The following is a 17,099-nucleotide window of genomic DNA, read 5'->3' on the forward strand; positions in this document are numbered from 1 at the left end:
AGTTCTGTGCTTCCCACACATTATTCCACTGGAGGATATAAGACTGAAGCTCAACAAAGTTGGGCATGCAGAATTCTCTTCTGCCCAAACAAATCTGAAAGAACCCCTAAATCTCTAAGACATCTTGTTGCAACTCCTAATCCCCTAAGTAGAGAGTTAAAGGTGTTCATCCTATTTAAGAACAATGGCACAAATACACAACTAATCAATTTATTCAGCAAATAATGAGAACCTACTATGTACTGTTTTAGGTACTGAGGAAATAACATTGAACAAAACAGATGATAATCCCAGCCCTTATGGAACATATTATGTTGAATGCACTGTATTAACCTTATAGCTGTGAAACAGCATGCTTTACCCCATTACTCTATTTTATTTATAGCATGTAAGCAAATATAAAGTAATAGTAATTGTACCTATTTACTTATTTACATGCTTATTTTCTGCCTCTCCCCACTAGAAGGTAAGCTCAATGAATGCAGTGACCTTGCCTATTTTGTTCACTTTTGTAAGTCCAGTACCTATAGTGGTGCATGGGGCAGAGTGGCCATTCAATAAATATTTGCTAAATAAATGAACAGTTTGAGTATAAATCCTATAAAGCATATCCAGCTACTTGAGGAGGAGATATAAAGCAGTGACTGTAGAGCCCTCCATTTAACTACAAACAAAAGCAAAGCTACTGTTCATCAAGGATCAATTTTGAAATTCCCAGCCAGCTTTTTTTTTTTGTCATATGCAAGTGACGATAATTAATGGCTTAAAGTAGGGTGCTATAGCAGGAAGGGAATGAATAAAATGTACTAAGGCTCCTATACACGATCAGATTATAGCTATTATGGATATTAATATATGTATACTATACGTACTCTTAGACGAGATCGGGCGCATTCAGGGTGGTATGGCCGTAGACATTATATATACTTTTAAAATGAAAACAAAAAGCTAATAAAATAATTATGGTCCCAGAATCTCTTTAAAGGCCAGGCCTGGTGGTTCATGCCTGTAATCTCAACACTTTGGGAGGCCAAGGTGGAAGGATCCCCTGAGCCTGGGAGTTTGAGACCAGGCTAGGCAACAGAGTGAGCCCTTGTCTTTACAAAAAAATTTAAAAATAAGCTGGTTATGGTGGCATGTGCCTGTGGTCCTAGCCACTTGGGAGGCTGCGGTGGGAGATTTCCTTGAGCCCAGGAGGTTAAGGTGCAGTGAACTGTGATTGCACCACTGCACTTCAGCCTTAGCAATAGAGATCTGTCTCAAAGGAAAAAAAACATAACCCTTTAAGGATAAGATTCCATGGATATAGGCAGATTAATTGGGACAGAACCAATAAAATTCTAGATTCTTACTAGAGTATCATAAACCTACAAGTATTCCCTCAACAACATGGCACACATGTAATAAATCACTATTGATAATGGAAACCGCAAATATTTTAATTTTTCTGCTACACTATTAGTGAGTTATTGCTGCTTTGTCCTTCACACATTAATTATCTGCTGGTGTAACACTCTGAATCCAGCTACTATGTAACCTTCACTCAATGATGTAAAATCTCATGATTGTTTTTGTGTTTCAGGATGTTTCCCTACCCAGAACACAATTTTTGTAGAAGAAAGAAAATGATCTGCTTATTTACTTTAATATGGAGATAGTTTGGTTTACAAAGCAAGTGATAACATACTTCCCCATGATCTTTTACATTTTCACAATAGTTATAGTCCTTTGATTTCTATTTGTATTTCACATTGGTCTTGTCCCCATTGTTATACTATAAATGCCTTAAAAACAGAGACTAACCCACTTATTCTTTAATTTCCCAGGTCAAGTGAAATGTGGCTGGTACAAAGTAAGCATTTAACAAATATTTTCAAATCTGAATTAAATATATCATTCATTCAAAAAACATTAAAAAGTTATGGCTAGGTGTGGTGGCTCAGGGCTGTAATCCCAGCACTTTGGGAGGCTGAGGCAGGAGGATCGCTTGAGCCCAGGAGTTTGAGACCAGACTCGCCAACATGGCAAAACCCTGTCTCTACAAAAAATACAAAAATTAGCCGAGCATGGTGGTGTGCACCTGTAGTCTCAGCTGCTCAGGAAGCTGAGGTGGGAGGATCCTCCTCCGGGAGGTGGAGGCTACAGTGAGCCAAGACTATACCACTGCACTCCAGCCTGGGTGACAAGAGTGAGAACCTGTGTCTAAGAAAAAAAAAGTTATTATTATGCTATTCATCAAGGTTATCATCATGAAGGTTATGAGCCTGGTATTTAGAAAGATTATACTCCAGTAGGGAAAACTGATATCCATATACTACCATGTGTTAAGGGATATAATAGAAGGAAGCCCATAGTATCAGTCATGTAGCCTTGATGAATTCAGCCTGGACCAGAGATGACATCAAGACCCCTGTGCTGAGTTTTGAGGAGTCAAGAGTTAATCAGGCAGAGTAAAAGAGGCAGTGGATGGTGAGAAAGTTCTAGGATAAGGAAATATATGTCAGAGGAGGTAATATTTTAAGAACTAGGAGATTAACTGGATGTGGGTGAAGGAATTGGGAAAAGAGTAGACAACTCCTAGATTTATAATTTGAGCAATTAACTGGTAGTAGACGATGGCTATTAACTAAAATAAAAAATTAAGAACGCAAAGGAAAAGCTAGTTTCTGAAGGAAGGGTGGAGATTTTTATATCATGGCCAGTTAAAGGCTATTCATATAAGATAATAAAAGACATGAGAGAGAACACAATGAGGAAAAGACATTTCCAATACTGTTTTAAATCCTCTTAGAGTCTGACGGCACCTGTATTTCTGAAATGGCTCTATTCTAATTACCAACAGAGAAGCTGTATGGTATAATGTAGAGCCCCTGGGTTCTGTATTCAGACAAACCTGGGTTTGCAATACAACTTTATCCCTTACTACGTATGTGACTTTGGAATTCACCTTGGAAGCCTGTTTTAGCCTAACATTTTCTCACCTTTAAAATGCAGCTGATAATCTCTACTTTACTTGTGAGAATTAAATGAGATAGTGTTATTCAAACACTTAGCATAGTGCCCAACACATAGCACATACTTGATAAATGTCAGTGCCCTTCGATTAAGAAACAAATTCATGCTCTGCAATACGCACCCCTTATTTTATAAAGAAAACACTGGCCAGGTGCAGTGGCTCACACCTGCAATCCTAGCATTCTGGGAGACTGAAGTGGGAGGATCCCTTGAGTCCAGGAGTTTGAGACCAGTCTGGGCAACATAGGGAAACCCCGTCTCTATAAGAAATTAGCCAAGCATGGTGGCACGTGCCTGAAGTTTCCAGTTACTCAGGAGCTGAGGTGGAAGGATCAATTGAGCCCAGGATTTTGAGGCTGCAGTGAGCTGTGACTGTGCCACTGCACTCTAGCCTGGGTGATGGAGCAAAACCCTGTTTCAAAAAACAAACAAAGCAAAAATCCCTGAAAGAAAATATTTATTTTCATAGTTAATATCCCCATCTTCTGGTCTTTTAAGGTACTGCTGACAAAAGAAGTTTTAAAGTTAAGCTGTATTTTTGCAACTACATATATATTGCTGTTACACCATGGAACATTCCCTGGGGTGTCGGGGAGGGAATCTCATAAAAGTTAAGCTGGTCTGACCAAGACTATAATTGGGAGATTCCCTACTCCTAACACAGAATGTCTACAATTCACTACAGTGGCATTTATAATGCTATTGTTTAATTTAAAGGCAAAGGAAATGTAATCCTGCTAAAAGTTCCTGTCTGCTTATATAAATGAAACCTTAACTTCTCTACTCTGGAATGCTGACTCCATTCCTTTGGAGCTGGTATTTCCAGGTGGTCCATCCTCATAATTTATGTTTGAACAAACTCTCTTTAAAAACAAAACAAAATTTAAAAAGCAAAGGAAACATTCCAAAGAGAAGCATAAATTTTATGTAGACATATGAATATTTAAAAATTGTCCTCAAAAAGAGTCTTTCCTAAGAAGTGATGTCAAGTATTTTTTGTAGGATTAATCTGTTATCAACACTAATAAATGTGGCTAATGAAGTTCAAAGAAAGCAATGATGTTGCTAATCTATGCAGTAGGAAACACTCTGTATTGAAATGTTATAAATTAAGTGGTGATAACAGCTTAAGTAAAGAAACTGACCAGTGCTAGCAATTTTGGGTACTAAAATAACGCCAGGGATTTGTCATTGGGTAAGTTGTGTGGCAAGTTGTGCTCCTCCATCTTGGGCACACTGGTGAGTCATGCCCTGCTTAGATAAGCATTAATCAAGGTTTAATGCATGCTTGATGAACGACCTTATTCTAACTAAATCCAGCAAGCTTTCAGCTCTAGAGTAAAAAACGCTATACTTAACAATCCCTTACTATTCTAAAATTCTGTGATCACCAAAGTTATTGTGATATTAATAGTGTAATACATAAATATACAAATTCATGTGTGTATGTTTGGCATTCATTAACATAGACATATATTCTTTAATGCCTACTCTGTACAACTGGTGGTGGTTTGGGGATTCAGCTGGAAAATCATACTCAAAAGACCCCAATCGGCAACATCCCTTACTAGGTTCACTCTTCAGAAGGATATCAGACAGGAAACAGAGCATACTGGCAGGACAAAAAATAGGTGTGTCATCAGTGGAGGCCTCTTCTCCAGTGGCAGCTTAGGCAAAAGAGAACATGTGAGTGGATAAAGAAGTCATTCTGGCTCAGTGCAGGAGAATGGTTCAGACATTACACATTGGCATCCACATATGCCACACAGGCTTGAACTACAGCTAATTTGAGTCCTGGTAGAATGCTTGTGATCTCCCTGGAACATGAGAGAATGAGTGGCTCATGAGGTCTTCTTCCATCCACCTCCCTGTTTCCCTTATGAGACTATCATAAGGCAGTTTCTTATCACCTCCCAGGTTCTGATGCGGTATAAACTTTCTGCAGGCTCTATGTGCAGACTATAAAAACCACAGCCTAGAAATAGCTCCTTTGCAATAGAGTATCCCACAATTTGTACTGCAGCCATTGACCTCCCCTTTTTTTTTTAAGAGAAGGGGGTTTCACTTTGTTGCTCAGGCTGGTCTCAAAACTTTTGGCTTCAAACAATCCTCCTTTGAAGGAGAATCCCAAAGTGCTGGGATTACAGGCGTGAAACACTGCACCCAGCTGTATCATTATTTTTGGTGTGCAGGACAATGACCCTGAGAGCTACTAACTTTGGCTACTCTTCCTTTTACTATATAAGTAATAAATTGCATCTAAAAGTGGCTTGTTGTATCTTTAGTCAAATAAGAGACTTGAAACAGTACAGATTCTCTCTTCTACTGGCCTCAAAGAAGCACCATGACATCTATAGCTGCAGGAAATAAATTCTGATAACTTCCTGAGTTGGTCATACCTGGTGATACCCTGATTGCCATCTTGTTAAACCTGAGCAAAAGGCTCACCTAAGAAGTGCCTGAACTCCTGACCCAAGGAAACTGTGAGATGATAAATGTGTGTTGTTTTAAGCTGCTAAGTTTATGGTAATTTGTTACATGGCAATAGAAAACTAATACACCCAGTCTAGTACCTGTAATCATTTATTGGTTCTTTGGTTCCATATCTCAAAATCCATTAGTTAGAATTAGGCTAAGTATGGAAATATTTCTTCACACCAACAGCTACCTGAGTAAAGCCCAAGTATCTCACCAATAACTAGATACTTCATTATAGAACCCTTCCCACAATGTGCCATCTATACCCAGGCTTAGGGTAGTGACTATTATCCCTCCTTAGGTCTTGAACCTGGGCCATGCAGTTCACATTCCACAGTTAGTCTTTACAGCTTGGTCAGTTTCCAGAGCCTTCCCTCAAGTGACTCACTGCTCTGTCTATTCCTTCTCCCCTCCAGTCAGGACTCATATCTTTCCGATATCAGACACATTGATTACAGCATATTATACTCATCTATCACCAAATAATATATACCTCAAAGGTTTTAAACCACAAATTAGCCATAAAACTTAGTTCAATATATGGGTTATGATAAATAAGAGATATGAAAAAATTCTGGAAGTAGATAAAAACATGCAGTACATCAACAAATTAAAGCTATTATATTACCTTTGTTATCATTCTGAAAATAGGAATCAAGCTACAGATTTAAAACCAAAATAGACCTTCAGACTATGCTAAATAAATGGATTTGACATAAGGTAATCAAGTCATAAAAAAACCAACAATCCTGCATTTCCTTAGCTATAATTCTGAGAAAATAAAATGAATTAGGTTTTTATAACCCAGCAGTTATATTTAGTCTTCATCAGGGGTCAACAACTTTTTCTGTAAAGGACCAGACACTCAGCAGATATTTTAGATTTTGTGGGCCATAAAATGTGACACAGCTTTGTCACAACTACTCAACTTTGCCATTGTAGCTTGAAAGTACCTATCGATAATATGAAAACAAATGGGCATGGCTATGTTCCAATAAAACTTTATTTACAAAAACAGGCTGCAGCCAGATTTGGCTCACAGGCTGCAGTTTGCCAATCTCTAGTCTACACAGAAATATGATTATCATTTAAACAAATGAACAAAACTTACTGCTTAATTTTATCATTTCTAGGTCCAAATCTTGGTCCAGATGGTCCCCTTCTGAAAACAAGTACATACCAAGTACATATTAGTAGTGACAGGATTAAAACAAAACAAAAAAAAGATAGAAAGTATACACAAATACAAACAATCAAGCTGAACTCTAAACATGGATCAGTTATTTATCATAAGGGACCACATTTTACTGATACTGGTGAAACTGAATAATAGGTAATCATGTCTTTACTTCATTGGCACTTATTACTAGCCACAATTAAGCTAATTCTTCTGCATGTTAAAACTTTCAGAGAAATTAGGGTTTATATTATCTTATATAACAAACTTACACAGAATTTGTTCTGATCATTAAACTCTGAAATATCCTAACTACTTAACTGCTAGTGAATATTAATATCTTTATGGTCAACTGTAGAACTAAAAGCGCAATTCATCTTGAATTTAGACTATAATGAAATGAGGAAACTACAAAGTGAACTGCCGATTGACAAAGATGGATATAGAGAAAAATTCATTGAAGACACTAACAATTTTAAGTATGTTTTTGATTATTCATCTTAAACTTATCAACATAGCAAAAGGGAAATGCAAGATATTAAGAAAATTTTAACATTACTCAGATTATTATCTCCTTATTGTAGTTGAGTGTATATCACACCTTAACCAATCCATTTTAATATTCTTGAAATGAAAACATTTGGTTATTTAAAGTAATCATGATTCTTCCGGAGATACAGAATAAATAAGACATAAACTACAAAACTCAAAAGAAACCAGGTTCTTAGATTTCTAGACATGGCAATTTCTAAAGGAGGTGAAAAAATACAGCAATTGATAAAAAAATTTTGGAAAAAAAAACTGTTTACTGAAACTTATTTAACATAATGTATAAGTGTGAATATATCATCTTGCCTTAGTTCCTCTAAGCTTTTTCCTTAAAGTCTTTTAAGCTCCAACTAAGCCTCAGAATACTGGAACAGTATTCCATTCCAAAGTGATGTTAAACATTGAATTTCATAGAGAAAACTAATATTCTGAACCAGAGGCCATTCCTAAAAACTAGGCAAGAACTTACAAGAGCTGGTCAACCGAAAAACAAAGAAAAGCAGTCATTAAATGAGGAAACTATAAAGTGAAATAGAATCTGAAAAGTACTGAATTAAAATGATCCCCACTACAGGTTAAAAAAAAAGCAGGAGCTATGTCTGTTTCATCTATCAAGTAACATGAGACTTCAAAATACTTATAGAAAAACACAAAATGAAAAGCTGGTTCTTTGAAAATTAAAACTTGATAAACTTCTAGCCAGACTGATTAGGAAAAAAAGAAAGAAGGCATAAATTAGTAACAGGAATGGAAGAGTGAACATCACTACAGACAAATGTACCATGGTTATATAAGATTTATTAACAGAAGCTAAGTGAAGCGTAGATAGGAACTCTCTATACTATCTATGCAACCCTTCTGTGGGTCTAAAATTATTTTTAAAAAATCCCCCAAAGAAAATTCCAGGACTAGATTTGTTCAGTTGTCAATTCTACCAAACATTTAATGAAGAAAAAATAAGAATTCTATGCAAACTATTCTGGAAAACTAAAAAAGACAGAACTTTCCCAACTCATTATCCAGGGCCAGTATGAACCTACCACGAAAACCAGATAAAGACACAACAAGAAAAAGACATAACTATCAACCAACCAATACCTCTAATGAACATAGATGCAAAAATTCTTAACAAACTCTTAACAAATTGATTCTAACAATGTTTTAAAAGAATAATACATGATGACCAAGTAGGGTTCATATCACAAATGCAACGACGGTTTAAAATTTCAAAATCAACATAATTCAACACATTCACAGACCAAAAAAAATGATCATCTCAATAGATACAAAATAAATGCTTGACAAAATCCAACGTCAGCTAATGATAAAAACTCTTCACAAACTAGGAATAGGAGGAAACTTCTTCAACCTGATAAATCTACACACAACAACAGTAACAACATGCAATGAAAATGAAACATAATATGAAAGATGAATGCTTCCCCTAAAGGAGATCAGGAACAAAGCAAGGATATTCCCTCTCACCACCTCTACTCAATATTGTGCTGGATGTTCTAATCAGAGCAATAAGCTAATAAAAAATAAAAGGCAAACATAGACGAGGAGGAAATAAAACTGTCTTTATTTGCAGAAAGCATAATTGTTCTATGTTGAAAATCCAGTAGGATATATAAAAACACTACTAAAACTAAGTGGGTTTGGCAAGATTGTAGAATACAAGGTTAATTTACAAAATGATATTTATACTAGCAATAAGTATGACATTTTAAAATTTTGAAACACCATCTGAAATGTCATTTTTAGTAGCATCAGAAATTATGAAAATCAATGTGCAAAAATCACAAGCATTCCTATACACCAATAACAGACAAACAGAAAGCCAAATCATGAGTGAACTCCCATTCACAATTGCTTCAAAGAGAATAAAATACCTAGGCATCCAACTTACAATGGATGTGAAGGACCTCTTCAAGGAGAACTACAAACCACTGCTCAACGAAATAAAAGAGGACACAAACAAATGGAAGAACATTCCATGCTCATGGATAGGAAGAATCAATATTGTGAAAATGGCCATACTGCCCAAGGTAATTTATAGATTCAGTGCCATCCCCATCAAGCTACCAATGACTTTCTTCACAGAATTGGAAAAAACTACTTTAAAGTTCATATGGAACCAAAAAAGAGCCCACATTGCCAAGACAATCCTAAGCCAAAAGAACAAAGTTGGAGGCGTCACGCTACCTGACTTCAAACTATACTACAAGGCTACAGTAACCAAAACAGCATGGTACTGGTACCAAAACAGAGATATAGACCAATGGAACAGAATAGTGCCCTCAGAAATAATACCAGACATCTACAACCATCTGATCTTTGACAAACCTGACAAAAACAAGAAATAGGGAAAGGAATCCCTATTTAATAAATGGTGCTGGGAAAACTGGCTAGCCATATGTAGAAAGCTGAAACTGGATCCCTTCCTTACACCTTATACAAAAATTAATTCAAGATGGATTAAAGACTTAAATGTTAAACCTAAAACCATAAAAACCCTAGAAGAAAACCTAGGCAATATCATTCAGGACATAGGCATGGGCAAGGATTTCATGAATAAAACACCAAAAGCAATGTCAACAAAAGCCAAAATTGACAAATGGGATCTCATTAAACTAAAGAGCTTCTGCACAGCAAAAGAAACTACCATCAGAGTGAACAGGCAACCTACAGAATGGGAGAAAATTTTTACAATCTACCCATCTGACAAAGGGCTAGTATCCAGAATCTACAAAGAACGTAAAGAAATTTACAAGAAAAAATCAAACAACCCCATCAAAAAGTGGGCGAAGGATATGAACAGACACTTCTCAAAAGAAGACATTTATGCAGCCAACAGACACATGAAAAAATGCTCATCATCACTGACCATCAGAGAAATGCAAATCAAAACCACAATAAGATACCATCTCACACCAGTTAGAATGGCGATCATTAAAAAGTCAGGAAACAACAGGTGCTGGAGAGGATGTGGAGAAACAGGAACGCTTTTACACTGTTGATGGGAGTGTAAACTAGTTCAACCATTGTGGAAGTCAGTGTGCGATTCCTCAGGGATCTAGAACTAGAAATACCATTTGACCCAGCCATCCCATTACTGGGCATATACCCAAAGGATTATATCAAGGGAACCACCCCCGATAATTCAACATAGGACCTTTTCTATTTTCCCTAAGTGTCGGCTGGTCTGAGTAATAAAGGGAAAGACTACAAAAGAGAGAAATTTTAAAACTGTGTGTCTGGGGGAGACATCACGTGTCGGCAGGTTCTGTGATGCCCCCCTACGCCGCAAAACCAGCAAGATTTTGTTGTGATTTTCAAAGGGGAGGGAGTGTACTAATAGGGTGTGGATTATAGAGATCACATGCTTCACAAGGCAATAAAATATCACAAGGCAAATGGGGGCAGAGCAAGATCACACGACTGGGGCAAAATTAAAATTGCTAATGAAGTTTCGGGCACGCACTGTCATTGATAACATCTTATCAGGAGACAGGGTTTGAGAGCAGACAACTGGTCTGACTAAAATTTACTGGGCAGGAATTTCCTCGTTCTAATAGGCCTGGGAGACCAGGGCTTATTTCATCCCTTATCTGCAACATATAAGACACACATTCCCAGAGCAGCCATTTTAGAAACCTCCCCTAGGAATGCATTCTCTTTCTCAGGACTGTTCCTTGCTGAGAAAAAGAATTCAGTGATATTTCTCCTATTTGCTTTTGTAAGAAGAGAAATATGGCTCTGTTCTGCCCAGCTTTCAGGCAGTCAGACCTAATGGTTATCTCCCTTGTTCCCTGAACATCGCTGTTATCCTGTTCTTTTTTCAAGGTGACCAGATTTCATATTGTTTAAACACACATGCTTTACAAACAATTTGTGCAGTTAATGCAATCATCACAGGGTCCTGAGGCGACATACATCCTCAGCTTACGAAGATGACGGGATTAAGAGATTAAAGTAAAGACAGGCACAGGAAATCACAAGAGTATTGACTGGGGAAGTGATAAATGTCCATGAAATCTTCACAATTTATGTTCAGAGATTGCAATAAAGACAGGTGTAAGAAATTATAAAAGTATTAAATTGGGGAACCAATAAATGTCCATGAAATCTTCACAATTTATGCTCTTCTGCCATGGCTTCAGCCAGTCCCTCCATTCGGGGTCGCTGACTTCCCACAACGGATTATAAATCATGCTGCTATAAAGACACATGCACACATATGTTTATTGTGGCACTATTCACAATAGCAAAGACTTGGAACCAACCCAAATGTCCATCAGTGACAGACTGGATTAAGAAAATGTGGCACATATACACCATGGAATACTACGCAGCCATAAAAAAGGATGAGTTCATGTCCTTTGTAGGGACATGGATGAAGCTGGAAACCATCATTCTGAGCAAACTATCGCAAAGACAGACAACCAAACACCGCATGTTCTCACTCATAGGTGGGAACTGAACAATGAGAACACTTGGACACAGGGTGGGGAACATCACACACCGGGTCCTGTCATGGGGTGGGGGGAGGGAGGAGGGATAGCATTAGGAGATATATCTAATGTAAATGATGAGTTAACTGGTGCAGCACACCAACATGGCACATGCATACATATGTAACAAACCTGCACACTGTGCACATGTACCCTAGAACTTAAAGTATAATAATAAAAAATAAAAGAAAATACTTAAGGATCAATTTGACAAAGAAAAAAATACAACATCTGGACACTGAAAACTACAAAACACTGCTGAGAGAAATTAAGTACCCAAATAAATAAAAAGATATACTATGCTCATGGGTCAGAAAACCAAATATTGTTAAGATGTTAATTATCCCCAAATTCATCTATAGGTTCAATATAATCTCAACCAAAATTCTAGCAGGCTTGCTGGAAACTGACAAGATGATTCTAAAATTTATATGAAAATGCTTAGAGCCTCCAATAGCCAAAAGAACTTTCAAAAGGCAGTGCAAAGTTGAAGGATATACACTACACTACCTCACAACTTACTATAAAGTCGTAGTACTCAGGATAGTGATTACTATGGTATTGATGTAAGAAAGACACATAGAGTCCAGAAATAGAGCCACACATATATAGTCAATAAATTTTTATTGTGGTAAATATATATAACATATATTTACTATTTTAACCGTTTTTAAGCATACAGTTCTGTGGCATTAAGTAATTCACTTAATGAACTGTCATCACCATTCATCTCTAGAACTTTTTCATCTTTCAAAACTGAAACTCTGTCCCCTAACTTGTCATTCCCTTTTCCTCAAAAGCCCTGGCAAACACCATTCTATTTTGTGTTTCTATGAAATTGACTACTCTAGGTACCTCATATAAGTGGAATCATGCAATATTTTTCCTTTTATGACTGGCTTCTTTTACTTATCATAAAGTCTTCAAGGTTCATCCATGTTTTAGCATATGTCAGAATTTCCTTCCAAACTTTTTAAGGCTGAATAAATTCCATTTATGTATTCAATAGTGAGTTCCTGGGTGTAGAGGCTTGTGCTATTAATTCTAGCTACTCTGGTAGGGGACCTGAGGCAGGAGAATCACTTGAGGTCAGGAGTTCAAGACCAGCCTGGCCAACATAATGAGACCCTGTCTCAGTCAATCAATCAATCAGCAAACAATTAAAAAAAATGAGTTCCTTTTTGAGGGGTAGCTATTGCTCTAGTCTAAGGCTTTTCACCACAAGTAGCATTGTAGGCAATTCACTTTGTGACTCTATAGCAATCTTGTCACCCATAGAAAATTATCTCCCCACATTATCTGACATTCTGCCAAAAATGATACTATTTTCTGTTACTGGATTTGCTGCTATCTATCCTGTAAGCTCTTTCTTCACTGCTTCTCGGGTTTCCATTAATTTTTTTTTTTTTTAGATGGAGTCTTTCTCTGTCGCCCAGGCTAGAATGCAGTGGCGTGATCTTGGCTCACTGCAACCTCCGCCTCCCAGGTTCAAGTGTTTCTCCTGCCTTAACCCCCTGAGTTGCTGGGATTACAGGTGCACACCACCAGGACTGGCTAATTTTTGTATTTTCAGCAGAGACGTTTCACTGTGTTGGCCAGGCTGGTCTCGAACTCCTGACCTCAGGTGATCCACCTGCCTCGGTCTCCCAAAGTGCTGGGATTACAGGCGTGAGCCACTGTGCCTGGCCAGGTTTCCGTTAATTTTTATAAAATGTTTTCACTTGGAAAAAAACCCAGCCTCAACAAAAAAAGTCACATTTTTTTTTGGGGGGGGCGAAGTATCACTCTGTTGCCCAAGCTGGAGTGCAGTGGTGCAATCTTGGCTCACTGCAACCTCCAACTCCTGGGTTCAAGCGATTCTCCTGCCTCAGTCTCCCAAGTAGCTGGGTCTATAGGCATGTGCCACCATGCCTGGCTAATTTTTGTATTTTTAGTGGAGACGGGGTTTCACTATGTTGGCCAGGCTGGTCTTGAACTCCTGACCTTGTGATCCGCCCGCCTCGGCCTCCCAAAGAGGTGGGATTACAGGCGTGAGCCACTGCACCCAGCCAAGTCACAGTATTTTAACAAGGTAAGAGGTAAATGTTTCCTCTCAGGCATATAACCTTCTACATCAATCCCCAGAGAAAACTCCCACAACAATGTTGTCCTTCCTGACTTGCCAAATATAAACCTAGACCTGTCTGAGAGCTCTTTCTAATCATAACTACAAAGGATTGATCAGGTCAACTAATTTTTTATGAGATACCAAGGTAATTCAGTGGGGAAAGGATGATCTTTTTATCAAATTACAATGAAACAGTTGGATGGCCATATTCCCCCAGTTTCATCCTTACCTCAAATATATACAAAAATTAACTTAAAAAGGGATTGTAGGCCTAAATATAAAAGTCAAAACTATAAAACTCCTAGAAGAAAGTACAGGTAAAAATCTTAGTGACCTTGAGTTTGGGAAAGATTTCTTATATATGAAAAAAATAGCAAAAACAATAGGAAAAAAAATTCAATAAACTGATGCCATCAAAATCAAAATTTTAATCTTCAAAAGATATTATTACAAAATGAAAGGGTTAAGTTATAGATTTGTAGTAAATATTTTCAGAACACATATCTGACAGAAAACTTGTATCTTGAATATATAAAAACTCTTGGCCAGGCACAGTGGCTCATCCTTGTAATCCCAGCACTTTGGAAGGCTGAGGTGGGAGGATCAGTTGAGGCCAGGAGTTTGAGACCAGCCTGGGAAACAAAGTGAGACCTCATCTCTGCAAAATATAAATAAATATAATAATTAGTTGGGTGTGATGGCACACACCCGTAGTCCCAGCTACTTGGGAGGCTGAGGCGAGAAGATCATTTGAGCCCAGTAGTTTGAAGCTGTGGTGAGCCAAGACTGCGCCAGGACACTCTACCAACCTGGGCAAAAGTAATACCTTGTCTCAAAAAAAAAAAAAAAAAAAGCCAAAAAAACACAACTCAATGAGAAAAATTTTAAAATGGGCAAGATTTGAACACATACTTCACCAAAGAAGGTAAGAGGACGAAAAATAAGCACACTACTAGATGTTCAACATCATATGTCATTAAGGAAATGCAAATTAAAACCACAACAAGATACCACTACACATCCACTAGAATGGCTAGAATGAAAGAGGCTGAAAAAGACTGACCATATGTAATGACGAGGATATGGAGCAACTGGAATTCTCATACAATGCTGGTGACAATATAAAATGGTGCAACCACTTTGGAAAACAATTGTAAACTTACACCAACCATTCTACTCCTAGGTATTTTTATTTCCAAGAGAAATAATAGCATATATCCACACAAAAACCTGCACACAAATGTTTATAACAGCTTTATATGTAAAAGCCAAAAAGTAGAAACAACCCAAAAATCCACACATAAGTGAATGCATAAACGAACTGCAGCATCATACAATGGAATACTACTCAGAAAATTAAAAAACCCAACTATTAACACATGGATGAATCTCAAAAACCATGCTGAATAAAGCCAGGTTTTAAAAAGGGGGCATACTGCATGATTTCATTTATAAAAAATTTTAGAAATACAAACTACAGTGACAGAAAGCAGAGCACTGGTTGCCTAGGGACTGGGAGAGCAATGGATTATCAAGGGTTATGAGGAAACTTGCAGGGCGACAGATGGTTCATTATTTGATTTTGGTGATGATGTCACAGGTACACGGTACAGTAAGCTCTCTCTCACCCATGGTTTTGCTTTCCACAGTTTCAGTTACCCATGGTCAACTGCGGTCTGAAAATATTAAATGGAAAATTCCAGAAATAAACAATTCATAAGTTTTAAATTGTGCACCATTCTGAGTAGCATGATGAAACCTCACATTGCCCCGCTTTGTCCCACCTGAAATGTGAATCACCCCTTTGTCCTGCATATCCACATTGTATATACTACCCAGCCCTTTAGTTATCAACATCTTCTTGGCTTCATGATCCAAGGTCACCTGAAATAGATGATTCTCCTTCTGACATATCATCAGAGGTCAATAGTACCTAACGTTATGTCACAACGTGCTACTCTCTGTGTTTTCACATATCCACTGGGGGATCTTGGAAGGCATCTCTCACGTATAAGGGAGACTACTGCATATCTGTCAAAATGTATACAGTATATTTTAGATATATGCATGTATTGTATGTCAATTACACCCTAATAAAGCTGTAAAAAAAAACTTACAGAAAAAAGTCCTCTTCTTCATCTGAATCATCTTCCAAAAGATTTCTCTGTCAAAAAAAGAAAAAGACTTGAGTTTTCAGATTCAGAGGGCTTATAAAATGTCACAGAGGAGTAATGAAATAAGTCCTATACTAGTGAAATTTCTTAACTCCAGGTGTCCATAAAGAGGGAAAAGTAATTACATATCCTTCACTGGAAGCTAAAAGATGTGGGACAACATTTATAGACTTTGCAAAGAAAATGCTCATAATTATAGAATCCTATAACTGACTAAAAAAGGTAGAAAGGTCACTGAAGCTGGTATGGGAGTGAGGAACTGCAGGTAGTCAGGAGGGAGCAAGTCCCCTCTCCTTCCTTCTGACTGCCAGTGTCTGTCTACTGGCAGAACTTAGGGAACCAGGTGGAAAGAAGAAATACAGTTTGTGGATTCCAACTGCAGCATCAGAGAAGAGTATAGAGGGAGTTTGGAGCTGAGGACAAGGGCTTAAAAATGGGCATGTTCTACTTTTTAGCTACTCTACCCACAAACAGCCCCCTAAACAAATTTGAACTTCCAAACAAAAGCAACTTTAGACTTTTATAACATACAACAATTTTCCTTAAAATGAGGACAGTCTCACCTTCTCCCCAAAAGGGGTGGGTATAAAGTCCAAAAGGTGACTAAAGAAGAGCAAAACCCAGACCTTTTCAGACACACAAGAACTCAAACAGTATACAAGTTAAGAATCCCTTATCCTAAATGCTTGGGACCAGAAGTATTTCAAATTTTGGATTTTAGAATATTTGCATATATATAAGGAAACATCTTGGGGATGGGACCGAAGTCTCAACACAAAATTCATTATGCTTCATAAAGACCTTGAGTTTCAAATATAGCTTATATACATAGCCTAAGGGTAATTTCACACAATATTTTTTAATACCTTTGTGCATGAAACAAAGTTTTGACTGCGTTTTGACTGCAACATGAGGTCAGGTGTGGAATTTTCCATTGTGGCATCATGCTGGTACTTAAAAAAGTTTCAGATTTGGGAGCATTTTGGATTTTCAGATTAGGGATGCTCAAACTGTACCACTTGCTATAGGCAGAATAATAGCTCCCCAAAGATGTTCATTTCCTAATCACAAAAACCTGTTTTTTG

The 17,099-nt window shown here is 37.5% G+C and overlaps 1 protein-coding gene across 4 annotated transcripts in view; it reads right to left on the minus strand.

Annotated features, from left to right (window-relative positions):
• Positions 1-17,099, minus strand: part of VAMP4 (vesicle associated membrane protein 4) — a 41,906-nt gene that overhangs the window by 12,407 nt on the left and 12,400 nt on the right. For 3 of the 4 annotated variants that reach the window (NR_033704.2, NM_003762.5, XM_047433375.1), the window contains exons 3-4: positions 15,958-16,004; positions 6,605-6,655 (exon numbers count right to left, since the gene is read on the minus strand). Coding sequence is in view for 3 of the 4 variants with exons in the window: in NM_003762.5 (NP_003753.2) it covers positions 6,605-6,655; positions 15,958-16,004 (98 nt within the window). In the remaining variant the exon portion in view is untranslated. The remainder of the gene's footprint in view (positions 1-6,604; positions 6,656-15,957; positions 16,005-17,099) is intronic. The other variant, NM_001185127.2, reaches the window with a different exon arrangement.

This window comes from Homo sapiens, chromosome 1, assembly GCF_000001405.40.
Source record: "Homo sapiens chromosome 1, GRCh38.p14 Primary Assembly".
NCBI lineage: Eukaryota > Metazoa > Chordata > Mammalia > Primates > Hominidae > Homo > Homo sapiens.